Consider the following 21,696-nt stretch of genomic DNA (forward strand, 5'->3'; position numbering starts at 1 on the left):
GGTTGCTGTGAGGATTATATGATGTCCTTAGAAATCACTGAGCTTAGTGCCTGGTACATGGTAAACACTTAATAAAGGTTATCTCATTCCTGGTATCAGAGATGTGATCTTGGCCAAGTATTTTGGCTGAGCAATGCTCTAGAGGGCTGGTCCCCTTATCTCCAGGCTTCCCTTTCTAAGCCATGGGTCTTCTAGCAAATTATCCTACCTCTTGGTGCTCCTGCTTTCTCCTCTGTAAAAACGACAATAATAATAATAATAGGCCAGGCGCGGTGGCTCACGCCTGTAATCCCAGCACTTTGGGAGGCTGAGGTAGGCGAATCACCTGAGGTCATGAGTTCGAGATCAGCCTGGCCAACGTGGTGAAACCCCGTCTTTACTAAAAATACAAAAATTAGCCGGGTGTAGTGGCTAGTCCCAGTTACTCAGGAGGCTGAGGCAGGAGAATTCCTTGAACCCGGGAGGCGGAGGTTGCAGTGAGCCGAGATCGCGCCACTGCACTCCAGCTTGGGCGACAGAATGAAATTCCGTCTCAAAATAATAATAATAGTAATAGATAATAGTACCTACTTCAGAGATGGCTGTGAAAGTTAAATGAGAATCTGTTTAAAAACCTTTGTACTGGCCGGGCGCGGTGGCTCACGCCTGTAATCCCAGCACTTTGGGAGGCCGAGGGGGGCGGATCACCAGGTCAGGAGATTGAGACCATCCTGGCTAACACGGTGAAACCCCGTCTCTACTAAAAAATACAAAAAAATTAGCCGGTCATGATGGCGGGCGCCTGTAGTCCCAGCTACTCCGAGGCTGAGGCAGGAGAATGGAGTGAACCCGGGAGGCGAAGCTTGCAGTGAGCCGAGATCGCGCCACCGCACTCTAGCCACTGCACTGCAGCCTGGGCGACAAAGCTAGACTCCATCTCAAAAAAAAAAAACAAAAAGCAAAAAAAAAAAAAAAAAAACCCCTTTGCATTGTGCTTTTCACACTGCAGTGAATACATAATGAGTAACAAAATATGTCTGGAATATCCTAGCTTTTTTTTTAATGCGTCTTTAAAATTGTATGTATTTAAGGTGTAAAACATTGTTTTAATATACATGTACCTAGTGAAGTGATTACTACAGTCAAGCAGATTTAGCATATCACCTCACATGAATATTTTGTGTATGTGTTTGTGGTAAAAACCCAAGCTCTACTCTTAGCAATTTTCCAGTATACAATACAATATTATCTATTAACATTAATCATAGTCTTCCGCCGGGCACGGTGGCTCACACCTGTAATCCCAGCACTTTGGGGGCCGAGGCGGGCGGATCACAAGGTCAGGAGATCGAGACCATCCTAGCTAACACGGTGAAAGCCCGTCTCTACTCAAAAAACACAAAAAATTAGCTGGGCATAGTGGTGGGTGCCTGTTGTCCCAGCAACTCGGGAGGCTGAGGCAGGAGAATGGCGTGAACCCGGCAGGTGAGGCTTGCAGTGAGCTGAGATCACGCCACTGCCCTCCAGCCTGGGCAAGAGCGAGAGTCCGTCTCAAAAAAAAAAAAAAATCATAGTCTTCATGTGGTACATTAGATCTCTAGACTTATTCATCCTACACAGCTGCAACTTTGTCCCCTTTGACCTGATGTCCCCATTCCCCACTCCACTCCTGGTAAACCACTGTTCTACTCTGTTGCTATGTATTCAACTTTTTCACATCTTCACGTATAAGTGAGATAATGTAGTATTGTTCTTTGTGTCTGGCTTATTTCATTTAGCATAATGTCCTGCAGGTTTATCCATATTGTGGCAAATAAAGGCTACCACACAGGTAGTAACCTTTAGAGACACAATAGGTGGTAAATGTTTCTTTCAGACTTTTCAAGTTGTCAGACTCTCAGTTAATCTCTCTCAGGTCTGGGGAAGGGAGAGCCCGAAAGAAGGCTCTTGTAAATAGAGCCTTCTATTTTAAGGCTGAGAAATAAGGAATATCCTAGCTTCTGAGGATTACTTTTTTTTTTTTTTTTGAGACCGTCTTGCTCTGTCACCAGGCTGGAGTGCAATGGCGCGATCTCGGCTCACTGCAACCTCTGCCTCCCGGGTTTAAGCAATTCTCCTGCCTCAGCCTCCCAAGTAGCTGGGACTACAGACGTGCGCCACCATACCCAGCTAATTTTTGTATTTTTAGTAGAGACAGGCTTTCACCATGTTGGCCAGGCTGGTCTCAATCTCTTGACTTCGTGATCCGCCCGCCTAGGCCTCTCAAAGTGCTAGGATTACAGGTGTGAGCCACCACGCCCGGCCTGGATTACTTCTAAAACTATGAAAAGTAAAGTGTAGTTAATTTTTAATTTTGTTTAGGGATGAGGTCTCACTATATTGGCCAGGCTGGTCTCCAGCACCTGGGCTCAAGTGATGCTCCTGTCTTGGCCTCCCTAAGTGCTGGGATTATAGGCATAAACTACCATGCCGGGCCTCAGAGTGTATTTAATTATTTTTCCCCATAAGGCCTACTGTCCACTCAGATGCAACATATTAAACTCTGAGTTTCCATAGGCAGTTTTTCATAAGCCCTTAAGTTCGACTTTTCTGTAGTCTCTACGTTGAAAGTGAAAATCAGCCTATTAATCATCAGACCCCGATGTGCCCAACACAGGCAAACAAGGAAGGTGGCAAAAACAACAGAAAAGAATGCATCTCCTAAGGCCACACCACAGCAAGATAACTAACAATCCCCTCGAAGGAAACCAAAATATTTCACTTCACCTCAAAATATACACTTCTGGCCAGGCGTGGTGGCTGACGCCTGTAATCCCAGCACTTTGGGAGGCAGAGTTGGGCGGATTGCATGAGGTCAGGAGTTCGAGACCAGCCTAGGCAACATAGAAAAACCCCCGTGTCTACTAAAAATACAAAAATTAGCTGGGCTTGGTGGCGTGTGTCTGTAATCCCAGCCTGGCCAATATAGTGAGACCTTATCTCTAAACAAAATTAAAAATTAACTACACTTTACTTTTCATAGTTTTAGAAGTAATCCAGGCCGGGTGTGGTGGCTCACACCTGTAATCCCAGCACTTTGAGAGGCCTAGGCGGGCGGATCACGAAGTCAAGAGATCGAGACCAGCCTGGCCAACATGGTGAAAACCTGTCTCTACTAAAAATTCAAAAATTAGCTGGGTGTGGTGGCGCACGTCTGTAGTCCCAGCTACTTGGGAGGCTGAGGTAGGAGAATCTCTTGAACCCGGGAGGTGGAGGTTGCAGTGAGCCAAGATCAAGCCACTGCACTCCAACCTGGACACCAGAGTGAGACTCTGTCTCAAAAATAAATAAATTAATTAATTAAACTTCTTTGACGTATTTTAAGATACCACTTCATAATAAAAAAGAAAAAAAACAAATAAGATACCTCTTTGGAAGGGTTGGAAATACAAGAATAGAAGGAAAGCTGTCTTTTGTGGGAAAGATTTGCATCTGCAGAGAAAATCTACACTGAGGCAGCCCGGCTTTCTTTGGAGCCCTCCCTTCCCCAGATCTAGGAAACATTAGCTGAGAGTCTGACAACGTTTGAAGCCTGAAGGAAACATTTACTACCTATTGTGTCTCTGAAGGCTGCTACCTGCATGGTTTCAATGACCTAACAAGACCACTGTGGCTAGCCAGGCTTCTGCTTCTCTCCATCCCATAACTGCTGGCCACCATATGATTTACCCTTATATCCTGTTTTGGGATATGTTCCCCATTCTTTCAGTAACCTCAAGATGGAATATGAGCTTGCCCTCCCCGTTGAGGGGTTGGGATCATCACTCTCTTGTTCTCCCTGTGCACATTAATAAATGTGTATGCCTTTTCATCAATAATCTGCCAGGGTTTTTGTTTGTTTCTTTGTTTGTTTTGTTTGTTTTGAGACAGGGTCTCGCTCTGTTGTGTAGGATTAAGTGCAGTGGTGCAATCTCAGCTCACTGCAATCCCCACCTCTCGGGCTCATGCGATCCTCCTTCCTCAGTCTTCCATGTAGCTGAGACCACAGGCACACACCCTTACGTCCAGCCAATTATTGTATTTTTGGTAGAGACAGGGTTTCGCCATGATGTCCTAGCTGGTCTCGAACTCCTGGGCTCAAGCAATCCTCTTGTCTTGGCCTCCCAAAGTGCTAGGATTACAGGCTCTTGGAGGACTGGGATCTTTGCAGAGATGTATCCCAAGTACCTAGAATAGTGTCTGGCATATAGTAGGTGCTCAATCTCTGACGTTATCAAAATTACCCAGCAATACTATGCCTTGGCTCACCATCCATACCAAACAAAAATAACAACATGTTGTATTAAAAGGAAACAAAAGCCATCTCTCCTTTAGTGTGCTGGGGTAAACATGCAGCAAAAGGGCAATTCGTTCATTTCTTTCCTACCAAACTATTTATTAGGGACCCTACTGTGCCAGCACTACACAGCCAGGTGATTTTTGTTGCTATTGTTGTTGTGTATGTGTATGTGTTTGTGGGATGGAATCTCGCTCTGTCGCCCAGACTGGGGTGCAGGTGCGATCTCGGCTCACTGCAATCTTTGCCTCCTGGGTTCAAGTGGTTCTTCTGCCTCAGCCTCCCGAGTAGCTGGGACTACAGGCGCCCACCACCATGCCCAGCTAATTTTTGTATTTTTAGTAGAGATGGGGTTTCACCACGTTGGCAAAGATGGTCTCGAACTCCTGACCTCAAGTGATTGGTCCACCTCAGCCTCCCAAAGTGCTGGGATTACAGGCATGGGCCCTGCCCATGTTTTTGTTTGTTTTTTTAATAGAAATCAGGCTGGTCTTATCTCCCCTTCCCTCCCCAGGCCTTGGCCTCCCAAGGTGCTGGGATTATAGCCTTGAGCCACCATGCCTGGCCCAGGTTCTTAATTGTAGGCAGAGTAAAGGCTTGGTGTGACGTGAGGGTACCCAGAACTTTCTCCAATTACTAATGCCTTCTCAGATGCCAGAGTCCAGAGGGGGGTGCCTGTATGCTGGGAAGGACTCCAGTAGGAGCAGAAGATCTTTGCCTCATCCATCTCTACTGACTGGGGTTAAGGCCAGTGAAGGAACACAGGAAACTTCACCCCAAAATGTGACTCCCTGGTATAATGAGTGTTTTGAATAAAATGCCCTAGAGATCAACAGGGTTAGAAGAGGCTTCCTCAATCTACATAAAGACCCAAGGACCCTCCAAGAACAATTGTTCTTCCTCCCCCTGTCTATTATCTTATGATCTTTTGCAGGAAGGAAGACCAAGAATGTAATCACATCAGAACAAATTCTTTTACAAGACAATGTGTGTCTTTCAGGCTCATTCAGTTTCCAAAGAGAACCATTTACAAGTTAGTCTCTGTTCCCTTATCCGTTCATTCTGCCTTGTAATCATTTATTGCCCCTTAACAGAACTACTGTTTTTCTGATCTCTCCCTCCCCTCTGAAATAAGGCTATACAACTATCTGGGCCCCACTGGGATATTGGGTAATTACTGTGTCATTCGCCCCACCCATACCCCGTGCATGTTAATAAATGTGTGTGCCTTTTCTCTATTAATCTGCCTTTGTCAGTTGATTTTTCAGCAGGGACACTTGGTAGAGAAAGGAGGAATAACGAGGCGGTGGTGGGTATCTGCTTCACAACTTTGCATGAAACTATAGTCATTTTCAGAGTGTGGTGATCATACTTAGAACAAAAGTTGCATGGCTTGGCAAGGAGTGTTCAATAGAACTAGTCAGGATAACAGAAAAGTTAAAATCATGACTATGCAGGAAATCTGAGCTATATAGGAGTCACATGGGCACTTTTGTTCCTGCACATAGTGGCTGTGTGGCATTGGGCAAATTACCACCTCAGTTTCCTTGTTGATGAAATAAAGCCAAAACACACCGGGCGTGGTGGCTCACGCCTGAAATCCCAGCGCTTTGGGAAGCCTAGCCAGTCGTGTAACCACCCAAGGAATTCACCTTGCCCGCTGCCTAGACAGAGCCAATTCATGAAGACGGGAATTACAACAGAGAAAGAGTAATTCATGCAGAGCCAGCTGTCCGGAAGACCAGAGTTTTATTATTACTCAACTCAGACTCCTGGAGCATTCAGAGAGCAGAGTTTTTAAGGATAACCTGGTGGGGCGGGGGAAGGGGGAAGCCAGTGAGCCAGGAGTGCTGATTGGTTGGTCAGAGATGAAATCCTAGGAATCAGAGCTGTCTTCTTTTGCTGAGTCAGTTCCTGGGTGGGGGCCACAAGATCAGATGAGCCAGTTTATTGATCTGGGTGGTGCCAGGTGATCCATCAAGTGCAGGGTCTGCAAAATATCTCAAGCAATGATCTTTTTTTTCTTTTTTTCACCAAGGCTGGAGCGCAATGGCGCTATCTCAGCTCACTGCAACCTCCGCCTCCCGGGTTAAAGCAATTCTCATGCCTCAGCCTCCCGAGTAGCTGGGACTACAGGTGCCCGCCACCACGCCTGGCTAATTTTTGTATTAGTTTTTTCCAAGACGGAGTCCCACTCTGTTGCCCAGGCTGGAGTGCAGTGGCACAATCTCGGCTCACTGCAACCTCTGCCTCCCAGGTTCAAGCGATTCTTTTGCCTGGGATTCTCTTTCCTGGGAGCAGCTGGGATTACAGGCACCCGCCACCACGCTGGGCTAATTTTTTTGTATTTTCAGTAGAGACGGGGTTTCGCCATGTTGGCCAGGCTGGTCTTGAACTCCAGACCTCAGGTGATCAGCTCACCTGGGCCTCTCAAAGTGCTGGGCACCAATCTTAGGAGAAGTTTAGGGAGGGTCAGAATCTTGCAGCCTCTAGCTGCACGACTCCTAAACCATAACTTCTAATCTTGTGGCTAATGTTAGTCCTACAAAGGCAATCTAGTCCCCAGCCAAGAAGGAGGTCTGCTTTCGGAAAGGGCTGTTATGGTCTTTGTTTAAACTATAAAGTATAAACTAAGTTTCTCCCAAAGTTAGTTCAGCCTACACCCAGGAATGAAAAAGGACAGCTTGGAGGTTAGAAGCAAGATGGAGTCAGTTAAGTTAGATCTCTCTCTGTTTCAGTCATAATTTTGCAAAGGTGGTTTCAGTTGGATCACTTGAGGTCAGGAGTTCAAGATCAGTCTGGCCAACATGGTGAAACCCTGTCTCTACCAAAAATACAAAAATGAGCCAGACATGGTGGTGTGTGTCTGTAGTCCCAGCTACTCAGGAGGCTGAGGCAGGAGAATCACTTGAACCTGGGAGGCAGAAGTTGCAGTGAGGCAAGATAACGCCACTGCACTCCAGCCTGAAGGACAGAGCAAGACTCCATCTCACACACACAAAAAAGAAAAGAAATAAAGCCAAAAGCAAAAAACAAACAAACAAACAAAAAGCCACACACAAAAAAACCTTCCTTGTAAATATTAAAGGAGTTAATGGATGCAAAACTCAAAGGACATTCACTTCATTTAATAACTGCTAGATATAGGCTGGGCGCGGTGGCTCATGCCTATAATCCCAGCACTTTGGGAGGCCAAGGCGGGCAGATCACAAGGTCAGGAGATCGAGACCATCCTGGCTAACATGGTGAAACCCTGTCTCTACTAAAAATACAAAAAATTAACTGGGCATGGTGGCATGCGCCTATAGTCCCAGTTACTCAGGAGGCTGAGGCAGGAGAATCGTTTGAACCTGGGAGGCAGAGGTTGCAGTGAGCCAAGATCATGCCACTGCACTCCAGCCTGGCGACAGAACAAGACTCTGTCTCAAAACAAAACAAAACCTATTAGATATGTGTTTGCTATTGTTTTAATTGCTGTTGTTACATGACATTAGAATAGGGTTGTCAAACTTAGCAAATAAAGATGTAGAATAGCAGGTGACCCTGGCTCATGTCTGTAATCCCAGCCCTTTGGCAGGCTGAGGCAGGAGGATCACTTGAGGCCAGGAGTTCTAGACCAGCCTGGGCAACATAGTGAGACCTCTATCTCTACAAAATAAAAATTAAATTTAAAAATTAAAAGAAAATCTGGATGCCAAGTTAAGTTTGAATTTCAGCTAAATAATCAGTACTTAGTATAAATATATTCCAAATATGACATGAGATATACTTAAAAATTATTCATTGTTTATCTGAAATTAAAATATAACTAGTGTGTTGGCTTTGCACAGTGGCTCATGCCTGTAATCCCAGCACTTTGGGAGGCCAAGGTGGGTGGAACACTTGAGGTCAGGAGTTTGAGACCAGCACGGCCAACATGGTGAAACCCCCATCTCTACTAAAAATACAAAAAAATTTAGCTGGTCATGGTGGTGATGCATGCTGTAATCCCAGCTACTCAGGAGGCTGAGGCACCAGAATCACTTGAACCCTGGAGGCAGAGGTTGCAGTGAGCCAAGATCACGCCACTGCACTCCAGCCTAGGCCACACAGCAAGACTCCGTCTCAAAAAAAAAAATACACGTAGTGTTAAAGGAAAATAAATGTTGGGGCCTGTAAATTACTAAGCTAAAGGGAAAAGTCAAGCTGGAAACTTCTCAGGGCCAAACTGTCTCCCATTCTATTCAAAGTCACCCCTCTGGTGACTGAGATAAACGCATATCTGATTGCCTCCTTTGGAGAGGCCAATCAGAAACTCAAAAGAATGCAACCATTTGCCTGTTATCTACCTATGACCTGGAAAACTCCTCCCGGCTTGGAATCTTCCCTTTTTTGGCTTCAAGTTGTCCTGCCTTTCCAGACTGAACCAATGTTCATCGTGCATATGTTGATTGACGGCTCATGTCTCCTTAGAATGTATAAAAGCAAGCTGTGATCTGACCACCTTGGGCACATGTAATCAAGAACCTCCTGAGGCTGAGTACAGTGGCTTATGCCTGTAATCCCAGCACACTGGGAGGCCGTGGTGGGCAGATTACTTGAGGTCAGGAGTTCCAAACCACTCAGGCCAACATGGTGAAACTCCATCTCTACTAAAAATACAAAAATTAGCCGGGCATGGTTGTGTACACCTGTAATCCCAGCTGCTTGGGAGGCTGAGGCAGGAGAATCACTTGAACCCTGGAGGTGGAGGTTGCAGTGAGCTAAGATCATGCCATTGCACTACTGCCTGGGGGACAGAGTGAGACTCTGTCTCAAAAAAATTAGCTGGGCGTGGTGGGGCACACCTGTAATCCCAGCTTCTCCACCACACTCCAGCTTGGTCAGCAGAGCGAGACTCCATCTCAAAAAAACAAAAACAAAAACAAAAACTAAAAACACCTCCTGAGGTTATGTCACAGATGCACATCCTTATATAAGAACCACACTTGATTTTCAAAGGCCTTACATCTACATTATCTAGTTTGGGTCCCACAATGGCCTTTAGAAGTAGGAGAAGTACAGAGTACTTTGCCATTTTAAGGCCCGGAAAATGAGGTTGTCGAGTCATGCACAAATGTTGCCTGTAATCACATAGCCCATAAGTGAGCTTGGAGCTTGAGGAATTTAAACTTCTGCTTTATTGCTTCCCTGAGCTGGTGCTGGAGGTTAGGCCTTGCCCTAAAGGAGTTTTTCCTTTGAAAGAAAAGGCTACGGCCAGGCGCGGTGGCTCACGCCTGTAATCCCAGCACTTTGGGAGGCCAAGGCGGGCGTATCACGAGGCTAGGAGATCGAGACCATCCTGGCTAACACGGTGAAACCCCATCTCTACTAAAAATACAAAAACAAAATTAGCTGGGTGTGGTGGTGGGGGCCTGTAGTCCCAGCTACTCAGAAGGCTGAGGTGGGAGAATGGCATGAACCCAGGAGGCAGAGCTTGCAGTGAGCCGAGATCGCGCCACTGCACTCCAGCCTGGACGACAGAGCAAGACTCTGTCTCAAAAAAATAAAAAAAAAAGAGAAGACTACAAATAAGACACAATCACTTTAAGTGCTGCAAAGTTAAAGGATAAGAGATTTGTCTGGCATCTTCCCAAGCCAGTGTGGAATATTTTATTGTCAGCAGATGTAGTTTGTACTATGTTACACAAGTTTTGACAACCTTAATCTGGAAACTGTAGTCTACACAATAAACATAATGTTGATCTATGTGTTATTTTCTTTCCAAAGGGAGTTTAATTAATGATTTGTTCCCTGTAAAAACAGTCTATATTCTCTTATAGACCAGTGGTTCCCTGCCTTTTAAATCCTCCTCAATCAATGCTCCTGACTGGGCCTCCCTTTGTAATCCCATAATGCTAAGATTGCAGGTGTGAGCCATCAGCCCCAGCTATGAGTTATTTTATTTTATTTTTATTGTTATCTTATTTATTTTATTTTATTTTATTTTTGAGATGGAGTTTCGCTCTGCTGCCCAGGCTGGAGTGTAGTGGCATGATCTAGGCTCACTGCAAGCTCTGCCTCCCAGGTTCACGCCATTCTCCTGCCTCAGCCTCCCAACTAGCTGGGACTACAGGAGCCCGCCACCACGCCCAGCTAATTTTTTGTATTTTTAATAGAAACGGGGTTTCACCGTGTTAGTCAGGACAGTCTCAATCTCCTGACCTCATGATCTGCCCGCCTCGTCCTCCCAAAGTGCTGGGATTACAGGCGTGAGCCACCGTGCCGGGCCTATTTTATTTTTATTTTTAGAGATGGAGACTTGCTCTGTCACCCAGGCTGGAGTGCAGTGGTATGATCTCAGCTAACTTCAACCTCTGCCTCCTGGGTTCAAGCGATTCTCCTGCCTCAGCCTCCTGAGTAGCTGGGATTACAGGCATGCACCACCATGCCCAGCTAATTTTTGTGTTTTTAGTAGAGACAGGGTTTCGCCATGTTGGCCAGGCTGGTCTCAAACTCCTGACCTCAGGCAATCCACCCCCCCACCCCCCTTCAGTCTCCCAAAGTGCTGGGATTACAGGCATGAACCACCACACCCAGCCCATGAGTTATTTTATTTTTATTGTATTTATTTATTTTTGAGTCGGAGTCTTGCTGTATTGTCCATACTGCAGTGCAATGACGCGATCTCGGCTCACCGCAACCTCTGCTTCCCAGGTTCAAGTGATTCTCCTGCCTCAGCCTCCCAAGTAGCTGGGATTACAGGCGCGCCACCACACCCAGCTAATTTTTGAAATTTCAGTAGAGACAGGATTTCACCATGTTGGCCAGGCTGGTCTCCAACTCCTGACCTCAAATGATCCGCCCACCTCAGCTTCCCAAAGTGCTGGGATTACAGGCATGAGCCACCACGCCTGGCCGAGTTATTTTTAATATTAAATACTGTGTTAATTTTTGGTACATTTATATATATATATATATATATATATATATATTTTTTTTTTTTTTTTTTTTTTTAATAAGCAATCCAGTTTGGCCAGGTGCAGTGGCTCATGCCTGTACTTCCAGCACTTTGGGAGGCTGAGGTGGGAAGATCGCTTGAAGCCAGGAGCTCAAGACCAGCCTGGGCAATATAGCAAGACTCCATTTCTAGAAAAACATTAGAAAATTAACTGGAACCAGGAGAGGTGTCTTATGCCTTGTAATCCCAGCACTTTGGGAGGCCAAGGTGGGATGATTGCTTGAGGCCAGGGGTTCAAGACCAGCCTGGGAAACATGGCAAAACCCTGTCTCATTCCTTCAATCCTAGCACTTTGGGAGGCTGAAGCAGGTGGGTCACTTGAGGTCAGTTCAAGACCAGCCTGGCCAACATAGTGAAACCCCCGTCTCTACCAAAAATACAAAAATGAGCTCTTGGCCTTGGTGCCATCTTCTTGGAAACCTTTGTGCTACAAGAGCCAAGTGGAGGAAGAAGCACATGAGGAGGCTGAAGCCCAAAAGAAAGATGAGGCAGAGGTCCAAGTAAACCACTAGCTTGTTGCACCCGTGGAGGCCACAGAAGCAGAAACATGGAATGCCAGAGGCTGGGAATGCTGGTACAAGTTGTTGGACTGCATGCTACTGTCTAGAGCTTTCTCAATGGACCTGGAACTTTATCGCCAACTGATCGCCAAGACCACCTCTGAGACCCACCTTGGTAATAACCAAAACTGTCCATGTTGGTCCTTTGTCCTGGATCTGTGACATTCTGAACTATTTATTTATTTATTTTTTGAGACAGAATCTTGCTCTGTCACCCAGGCTGGAGTGCAGTGGTGCGATCTCGGCTCACTGCAATCTCCGCCTCCTGGGTTCACGCGATTGTCCTGCCTCAGCCTCTTAAATAGCTGGGATTACAGGTGTGCGCCACCATGCCCAGCTAATTTTTTTGTATTTTTGGTAGAGATGGGATTTCACCAAGTTGGTCAGGCTGGTCTCGAACTCCTGACTTCATGATCCGCCCGCCTCGGCCTCCCAAAGTGCTGGGACTACAGGCATAAGCCACCGCACCCGGCCATTCTGGACTATTTCTGTGTCCACTTGTGGCTGAGTATAGCAACCATACAATAAAACCCCTCTTCCACTGTCTTAGCTGAAGAACTAAAAAAAAAAAAAAAAAAAAATGAGTGGTGCATGCCTGTAGTCCCAGCTACTTGGGAGGCTGAGGCAGGAGAATCGCTTGAACCTGGGAGACGGAAGGTGCAGTGAGCTGAAATCACGCCACTGGTGCCACTGCGAGCCCAGCGGGGGCAGAGCGAGATTACAGCCCCAGGGGACAGAGCGAGACTCCATCTGAAAAGAAAGTTTGTCAAGTAAACAAATGAATGAGTCCAGGTGCAGTGGCTCACGCCTCTAATTCCAGTACCTCGGCAGGCTCATTTGAGGCCAGGTGTTCACAATCAGCCTGGACAAAATAGCAAGACTCCATCTTTATGAAATAAAAAATAAAAAGCCGCCGGGCGTGGTGGCTCATGCCTGTAATCCCAGCACTTTGGGAGGCCGAGGCGGGCAGATCACGAGGTCAGGAGATCAAGACCATCCTGATTAACACAGTGAAACCCCCTCTCTACTAAAAATACAAAAATTATCTGGGCGTGGTGGCGGGCGCATGTAGTCCCAGCTACTCGGGAGGCTGAGGCAGGATAATGGCATGAACCTAGGAGGCGGCGCTTGCAGTGAGCTGAAATTGCACCACTGCACTCCAGCCTGGGTGACAGAGCGAGACTCCGTCTCAAAATAAATAAATAAATAAATAAAAATAAATAAAAAGCCAAATGAATGGATGACACATGAATCAATGAATGCAAATATGAATTTGTGGGGCCTTACCCTATCTCTAAGCTCCCCTTCTCCCTCAAAAGGGTTAGGAACAAAAGGATTTTAGGAAAAGAACAGGAAAACTTAGAGCAGTTCCTCTCTAGAAATGGCAAGATATCTCAGCTCTCCCACCCCAGCCCTCACCCCTGGAGGGGATTATGCTGACCAAATAGTTTATGCTGCTGGAGGGCTCTCTTTAGGGAGGGGCAAAAATGCCAATAAGGTTATCTTCCTCTGTTCTGTACCCTGCTACCAAATCTGATCTGAAATCAGCCCATAGGTGTCCTAAAGTATGGAAATGTGCTAGGGCCACCTGCCGGTGGGAAAAAGATAAATTAGATTTCAGAAAAGGGCTGATAGTAAGCATTTAAAATACAATACCTTCCAGCGCAGTGGCTCATGCCTGTAATCCCAGCACTTTGGGAGGCCGAAGCGGGCGAATCACCTGAGGTCAGGGGTTCAAGACCAGCCTGACCAACATGGAGAAACCCCGTCTCTACTAAAAATACAAAAAAATTAGCCAGGCGTGCTGGCGCAGGCCTGTAATCCCAGCTACTCTCGAGCCTGAGGCGGGAGAATCACTTGAACCTGGGAGGCGGAGGTTGTGGTGAGCCGAGATCTCGCCATTGCACTCCAGCCTGGGCAACAAGAGCGAAACTGTCTAAAAAAGTAAATAAAATAAAATACCAAGAAGCTATATTTAGAAAACTCTTACATGCTTGAACCTTTACTTCCTTGACTTTTTTGTTTTGTTTTTGGTTTAAAATCCATTTACAGGCCGGGAGTAATGGCTCATGCCTGTAATCCCAGCCCTTTGGGAGGCCGAGGTGGACAAATCATTTGAGGTCAGGAGTTTAAGACCAGCCTAGCCAACATGGAAAACCCCATCTCTATTAAAAATACAAAAATTAGCCGGGTGTGGTGGTGTGCCTGTAATCCCAGCTACTGGAGAGGCTGAGGCAGGAGAATCCCTTGAACCTGAGAGGCAGAGATCACAGCACTGCACTCCAGCCTGGGCAATAGAGTGACACTCAGTCTCAAAAAAAAAAAAAAACGGGTGCAGTGTCTCATCCCAGCACATTGGGAGGCCAAGGCAGGTAGATCGCCTGACGTCAGGAGTTTGAGATTACCTTGGCCAACATGGTGGAACCCCATCTCTACTAAAAATACAAAAATTAGCTGGCTGTGGTGGCAGGCACCTGTAATCCCAGCTCCTCGGGAGGCTGAGGCTGGAGAATCGCTTGAACCCAGGAGGCGGAGGTTGCAGTGAGCTGAGAGCACGCCACTGCACCCCAGCCTGGGCAACAGAGTGAGACTCCGTCTTGAAAAAAAAAAAAGATAAATAAATAAAATCCGTTTATTACTGAGGAGTTCTTGATTTTGTGTGTGTGTGTGATTTAAAAGTTATAAATGGGCCGGGTGCGATGGCTCACGCCTGTAATCCCAGCACTTTGGGAGGCCAAGGCAGGCGGATCACGAGGTCAGGAGATCGAGACCATCCTGGCTAACACGGTAAAACCCCATCTCTACTAAAAATATAAAAAATTAGCTGAGCGTGGTGGTGGGCGCCTGTCTACTTGGGAGGCTGAGGCAGGAGAACGGCATGAACCTGTGAGGCGGAGCTTGCACTGAGCTGAGATCACACCACTGCACTCCAGCCTGGGGGACAGAGAGAGACTCCGTCTCAAAAAAGAAAAAAAAAAGTTATAAATGGAGGCCGGGCGCGGTGGCTCACCCCTGTAATCCCAGCACTTTGGGAGGCAGAGTTGGGCAGATCGCATGAGGTCAGGAGTTCAAGACCAGCCTGACCAACATGGAGAAACCCTGTCTCTACTAAAAAATATAAAATTAGCTGGGCATAGGGGTGCCTGCCTGTAATCCCAGCTACTTGGGAGGCTGAGGCAGGAGAATCGCTTGAACCCAGAGGCGGAGGTTGTGGCTAGCCGAGATTGCGCCATTGCACTCCAGCCTGGGCAACAAGAGCGAAACTCTGTCTCAAAAAAAAAAAGAAGTTATAAATGGAACTACGTGTATTCACGTGCACGAGTTTGCACTGCAGTTTGATAGAAAGCCTGACTGCATTGTGTGGTAAGCTTGTGTGAGTGATGTGTGTGCTCTTTGAACTAATGCTGCTTCAGCTCTCCTCTGCCATAGCGGAACCCAGCCTTCCAGGAAAGAAAAGCCAGGAAGGGCAGCCTAATCTCTGCAAAAACTAGGAAGTGAATGCTGAGAATGAATTGATGAACTTCCTAGGCTTATTTGGTGAAAATATAGCTTGCTTTATAAAGAAAGGCCTCAGGCCAGGCACGGTGGCTCACGCCTGTAATCCCAGCACTTTGGGAGGCTGAGGCGGGTGGATCACCTGAGGTCGGGAGTTCAAGACCAGCCTGAGCAACATGGTGAAACCCCGTCTCTACCAAAAATACAAAAATTAGCCAGGCGTGGTGGCGCATGCCTGTAATCCCAGCTACTCAGGAGGCTGAGGCAGGAGAATCACTTGAACCCAGGAGGCGGAGGTTGCAGTGAGCCAAGATTGCACCATTGCACTCCAGCCTGGACGACAGAGCAAGACTCCATCTCAAAAAAAAAAAGAAAAGAAAAGAAAAGAAAGAAAATGTCTCTTCCAGGTGCAGCCTAAATGAGCCACAGTCTTAGGGGATAATAGCATCAGCGGATTCCTTCATTCCTTCATTCAGGTACGGTGGTCAGGGAAGGCCCTTCTAAGACAATATTTGAAAGTAGTCCTAAAGGATTGGAAAGAATGAGCCATGTGAAGACATGAGGGAAGAGCGCACAGGCCAGAGGGAACAGCAGGTATGGCCCGGAGGCTGGGCCCTGCTTGGTGTGATCCAGGACCTGCTGACGCCACTGTGGCTGGACCCAGGGAGCCAGGCCAAGGTTGGTCAGAGATAAGGCCGACTGGAGAGCGAAGGGGAGATGGAATCACCTGATGGGTTCTTCCTGCCTGCTGCACAGACAAAATCAATCCTCTGAGACCATGGCACAGCAGTAAAGAACAGTAAAGAACGCTGAATTGACAGAAGCTGGCTACAAATCAATCTCCTTGAAGGCTCTGAGGTTAAGGATTTTCTTTTGTTTTCTTTTTTTTGTTTTTGTTTTTGCCATATCAATACCTGGTTTAATTTTTTTTTTTTTTTTTTTTTTGAGACGGAGTCTCACTCTGTCTCCCAGGCTGGAGTACAATGGCGCCATCTTGGCTCACTGCAACCTCCGCCTCCTGAGTTCAAGCGATTCTCCTACCTCAGCCTCCCAAGTAGCTGGGACTACAGGCGCCCGCCACCAAGCCCGGCTAATTTTTTGTATTTTTAGTAGAGATGGGATTTCACCGTGTTAGCCAGGATGGTCTCGATCTCCTGACCTCGTGATCTACCTGCCTTGGCCTCCCAAAGTGCTGGGATTACAGGTGTGAGCCACTGTGCCTGGCCAGTTTTAATTTTTTTTAGAGGAAATACTATAATCTTTTTTTTTTTTTTTTTTAGATAGAGTTTCACTCTGTCACCCAGGCTGAAGTGCAGTGGCATGATCTCAGCTCACCATAACCTCCACCTCCCATGTTCAAGCAATTCTCCTGCCTCAGCCTCCTGAGTAGCTGGGATTACAGGCGCCAGCCACCACACCTGGCTAATTTTTGTATATTTTTTTTTTAGTAGAGACGGGGTTTCACCATGTTGATCAGGCTGGTCTCGAACTCCTGACCTTGTGATCCACCCGCTTCAGCCTCCCAAAGTGCTGGGATTACAGGCATGAGCCACTGTGCCCAGCCGGAAATACTATAATCTTAAAAAAGAGTTCCAAAAAACTTAACAGCATTTCCAGCCATGACTATTTCTGAAATGTAAAGATTTGAAACCTAATTTATACAAAACTAAAAACCAGAAAGATTCATTCTTGCTTTTTCTTTTTTAAAAAATCCAGATAGTTTGTCACAAGAAAGTTCGGCAAATTGCCAGGCACAGTAGCTCACGTCTGTAATCCCAGCACTTTGGGAGGCGGAGGTGGGTGGATCACCTGAAGTCAGGAGTTCAAAACCAGCCTGGCCAACATAGTGAAACCCCATCTCTACTAAAAATACAAAAATTTGCTAGGCGTGGTGGCATGCCTGTAATCTCAGCTTACTCGGGAAGCTGAGGCAGGAGAATCACTTGAACCAGGAGGTTGAGGTTGCAGTAAACCAAGATCACGCCATTGCACTCCAGCCTGGGCGACAAGAGCGAAACTCCATCTCAAAAAAAAAAAAAAAAAATTCATTCTACTCAGTGTCTGCGTTGGGGGTTCTACATCTTATTTCCAATCGCTCAAGCCAGTTGCGCCACCTGAGGTTAGGGGTTTTCAAGGATAGTTTGGTGGGCAGTGGACTAGGGGTTGGGGAGTGAATGTTGGGGATGCAGTCATAGGGCTGTGGAAAATGGAGCTTGTATGCTGAGTTCCCCTCTGGGTGGGTCCACAGGACTGGGTGAGTCATGAGTCACAAGTGCAGGTGGAGCCATCAGGTAGCCAGAAATGTAAAAGTGTGAAAGGACATCTCAGAAGGCCAATCTTAGCTTCTACAATAGTGATGTTATCTGCAGGAGTAATTGGGGAAGTCACAAATCTTGTGACCTCCAGAACAATGGCTGGTTACCCTTTAACGATGCCTATATCTCAGCAAAATTCAGGCTCCTCTCATAATCCTAAACTTATGGCTTTTCATTAGTTTTACAAAGGCAGTTTGGTTTTGGGAAGGGCCATTATCATCCTCACTTTAAGGTTAAATTATTTATTTATTTTTTTTGAGATGGAGTCGGGCTCTGTCACCCAGACTGGAGTGCAGTGGCATGGTCTTGGCTCACTGCAACCTCCACCTCCTGGGTTCAAGCAATTCTCCTGTCTCAGCCTCCCAAGTAGCTGGGATTACAGGCACATGCCAGCATGCCAGGCTAATTTTTGGTATTTTTAGTAGACACAGGGGTTTCACCATGTTGGCCAGGCTAGTCTTGAATTCCTGGCCTCAGGTGATTCACCCGCCTCGGCCTCCCAAGGTGCTGGGTTTACAGGTGTGAGCCACCGCGCCCGGCCTAAGGTTAAACTATAAACTAAATTTCTCTCAAAGTTAGTTTGACCTACTCCCAGGAATGACCCAGGACAGCTTGGAGATTAGAAGCAAGTTGGAGGCGGCAACAATGTCAGGTTTCTCTTACTGTCTTAATTTTGCAAAGGCGCTTTTAGAGACACAGTGAGAGCTAGTGTTCCTGCTGAGCAGATTCCTCCTCCCCAGTTCACAGCGCACTTTAGTGTATCTTTGGGTGGTACTCTACCAGCCATGCAGAAATTATCAGACCCAGTGAGACTGCAGCAGACTCAGGCGGCCAGGATGAGAGTGTCCTGAGCGGTGGGGTAGAGGGAGAACAGATTCCTTTTCCACACTTGGATAATCCCAGGTGCATAGTGTCTCTTTGGCTTCATGGCTGCTGCTGGTCCTGGCCTCACATTTGTCTGGGGGCTTCAGTCTGAGGGACTGCAGCAGTGCATTCTGGATTCGGTAGTTAGCTAACATAGAGCTCAGTGTTGTGTGCCTACTGTCCAAAAAATAAAATTGCATGTGTATTGATGGCTGAAACCTGTTGATAAAAAGAGCCAAACTCTAGGGGTTGGGCTCAGCTGCTCACGTCTGTAACTGAGCACTTTGGGAAGCTGAGGAGGGAGGATCACTTGAGCCCAGGAGTTCAAGACCAGCCTGGGCAACATTGTAAAAATTAAAAAAAATTAGCTGGGTGTGGTGGCACGTGCTCATAGTGCCAGTTCTTGCTCTTTGTTTTTTCATTAAAAAAAAAAATCTTAGGCCTGGCGCAGTGGCTCACGCCTGTAATCCCAACACTTTGGGAGGCCAAGGAGGGCGGGTCACGAGGTCAGGAGATCAAGACCATCCTGGCTAACATGGTGAAAACCTGTCTCTACTAAAAATACAAAAAAATTAGCCGGGCGTGGTGGCGGGCACCTGTAGTCCCAGCTACCCAGCTACTCAGGAAGCTAAGGCAGCAGAATGGCGTGAACCCCGGGAGGCAGAGTTTGTAGTGAGCCAAGATCGCACCACTGCACTCCAGCCTGGGCAACAGAGCGAGACCACCTTTTTTTTTTTTTTTGGTGCAATCTCAGCTCACTGAAACCTCTATTTCCATGGCTCAAGCAATCCTCCCACTTGAGCCTCCTGAGTAGCTGGGACCACAGGCATGCTCCACCACACCTGGCTAAAGTCCCAGCAACTTGGGAAGCTGAGGCAGGAGGATCCCTTGAGCCCAGGAGTTCAAGACCAGCCTGGGAAACATAGCAAGACCCTGTCTCTATTGATTTATTTATTTGCTTTTTAAAAAAATTATTTATTTATTCATTTTTGAGATGGAGTTTTGCTTTTGTCACCCACGCTATAGTGCAATTGTGCAATCTTGGCTCACTGCAACCTCTGCCTCCCGGGTTGAAGTGATTCTCCTGCCTCAGCCTCCCGAGTAGCTGGGATTACAAGTGACTGCCACCATGCCTAGCTAATTTTTTGTATTTGTAGTAGGGATGGGGTTTCACCATGTTGGTCAAGGCTGGTCTTGAACTCTTAACCTCAGGTGATCCACGTGCCTCGGCCTCCCAAAGTGCTGAGATTACAGGTGTGAGCCACCACGCCTGGCCAATTTTTAAATTTTAATTAAAAAAATTTTTTTTTTGAGACAGAGTTTCGCTCTTGTTCCCCAGGCTGGAGTGCAGTGGCGGGATCTCGGCTCACTGCAACCTCCACCTCCTGGGCTCAAGCAATTCCCCTGCCTCAGCCTCCTGAGTAGCTGGGATTACAAGCATGTGCCACCACGCCCAGCTAATTTTTTTTTTTAATTTTATTATTATTATACTTTAAGTTTTAGGATACATGTGCACAACATGCAGGTTTGTTACATATGTATACATGTGCCATGTTGGTGTGCTGCACCCATTAACTCCTCATTTAGCATTAGGTATATCTCCTAATGCTATCCCTCCCCCCTCCCCCGACCCCACAGCTAATTTTTGTATTATTAGTAGAGATGGGGTTTCACCATGTTGGCCAGGCTGGTTTCGAACTCCTGACGTCAGGTGATCTGCCTGCCTTGGCCTCCCAAAGGGGTGGGATTACAGGCGTGAGTCACCATGCCTGGCCTTCTATTTAAATATGCCAGGCACAGAGCAAAGTGGCCAACTTTGAGATAGATCTCATGAGTAAAAATGCCAGGACTTGGGCAGGTTTCTTGCTGGGTTGTTAGAGTGGCCTCCTAACTGGTCTGTCAACATCCACTCTGACCCCTTCCATTCTATTGTCTGCATTGCAGTCTGTGATTTTCTAAATCCGAAGGTACTTATGACATTCTCCTGCATACAATTTTTTTTTTTAAATTTTTTGAGATGGAGTTTCGCTCTTGTTACCCAGGCTGGAGTGCAATGGCACGATATTGGCTCACTGCAACCTCTGCCTTCCGGTTTCAAGCGATTCTCCTGCCTCAGCCTCCCGAGTAGTTGGGACTACAGGTGCCCGCCACCACGTCCGGCTAAATTTTGTAATTTTTTTTTTTTCTGAGATGGAGTCTCACTCCCTTGCCTAGGCTGGAGTACAGTGGTGCAATCTCAGCTCACTGCAAGCTCCACCTCCTGGGTTCAAGTAATTCTCCTGCCTCAGCCTCCTGAGAAGCTAGGATTACAGACGTGCACCACCACACTCAGCTAATTTTTTTGTATTTAGTAGAGACAGGGTTTCACCACATTGACCAGGCTGATCTTGAACTCCTGACCTCGTGATCTGCCCACCTCGGCCTCCCAAAGTGCTGAGTGAGCCACTGGGCGCTTCCAATTTTTGTTTTTTTAGTAGAGATGGGCTTTCACTATGTTGGCCAGGCTGGTCTCGAACTCCTGACCTCACCTCGTCCTCCCAAAATGCTGGGATTACAGGAATGAGCCACCACGCCCAGCGTGTGAGCCACCGCGCCCAGCAAAATTTTTTCATAGTTTCAGATTCCTTTCATCTTATTTTTAAATTTTTATTTATTTATTTATTTTTTGAGATGGAGTCTCATTCTGTTGCCCAGGCTGGAGTGCAGTGGCGCAATCTCAGCTCACTGCAACCTCTGTCTCCTGGGTTCAAGCAATTCTCTTGCCTCAGCCTCCCGAGCAGCTGGGACTATGCCATGTGCCACCATGCCTGGCAAATTTTTTTTTTTTTTTTTTTTTGGTAGAGACAAGGTCTCTTTATGTTGGCCAGGTTGGTCTTGAACTTCTGGGTTCAAGTGATCCTCCTGCCTCAGCCGCCTAAAGTGTTGTGATTAGAGACTTGAGCCACCACGTCCAGCTTCTGATTAATTTTAAAGTTAAAATTAAAATCCTTAACATGATCTACAGAGCCTTACGAAATTTGACCCTGTTATGGGCTAAATTGTATCCCGCACCCCTAAATTCATGTGGAGTCCTAACCCCCTTTACCTCAGAATGTAACTGTATTTGGAGACAGGGTCTTTAAAGAGGTAATTGAATTAAAATGAGCTCATTAAGATGGGCCATAATCCAACATGATTCCTTAGAAGAAG

At 46.7% G+C, this 21,696-nt stretch overlaps 2 annotated features.

Annotated features, from left to right (window-relative positions):
* Positions 91–1,001: an enhancer, noted in NCBI's record as "H3K4me1 hESC enhancer chr7:140179742-140180652 (GRCh37/hg19 assembly coordinates)". NCBI's record gives its function as "activates a minimal SCP1, AML or CMV promoter by ChIP-STARR-seq in primed H9 embryonic stem cells {active_cell/tissue: H9 hESC(primed)}" and the evidence as "EXISTENCE:reporter gene assay evidence [ECO:0000049][PMID:30033119]".
* Positions 6,986–7,175: an enhancer, noted in NCBI's record as "active region_26782". NCBI's record gives its function as "activates an Ori minimal core promoter by ATAC-STARR-seq in GM12878 lymphoblastoid cells {active_cell/tissue: GM12878}" and the evidence as "EXISTENCE:reporter gene assay evidence [ECO:0000049][PMID:35858748]".

Source organism: Homo sapiens, chromosome 7, assembly GCF_000001405.40.
Source record: "Homo sapiens chromosome 7, GRCh38.p14 Primary Assembly".
Taxonomy (NCBI): Eukaryota; Metazoa; Chordata; class Mammalia; order Primates; family Hominidae; genus Homo; species Homo sapiens.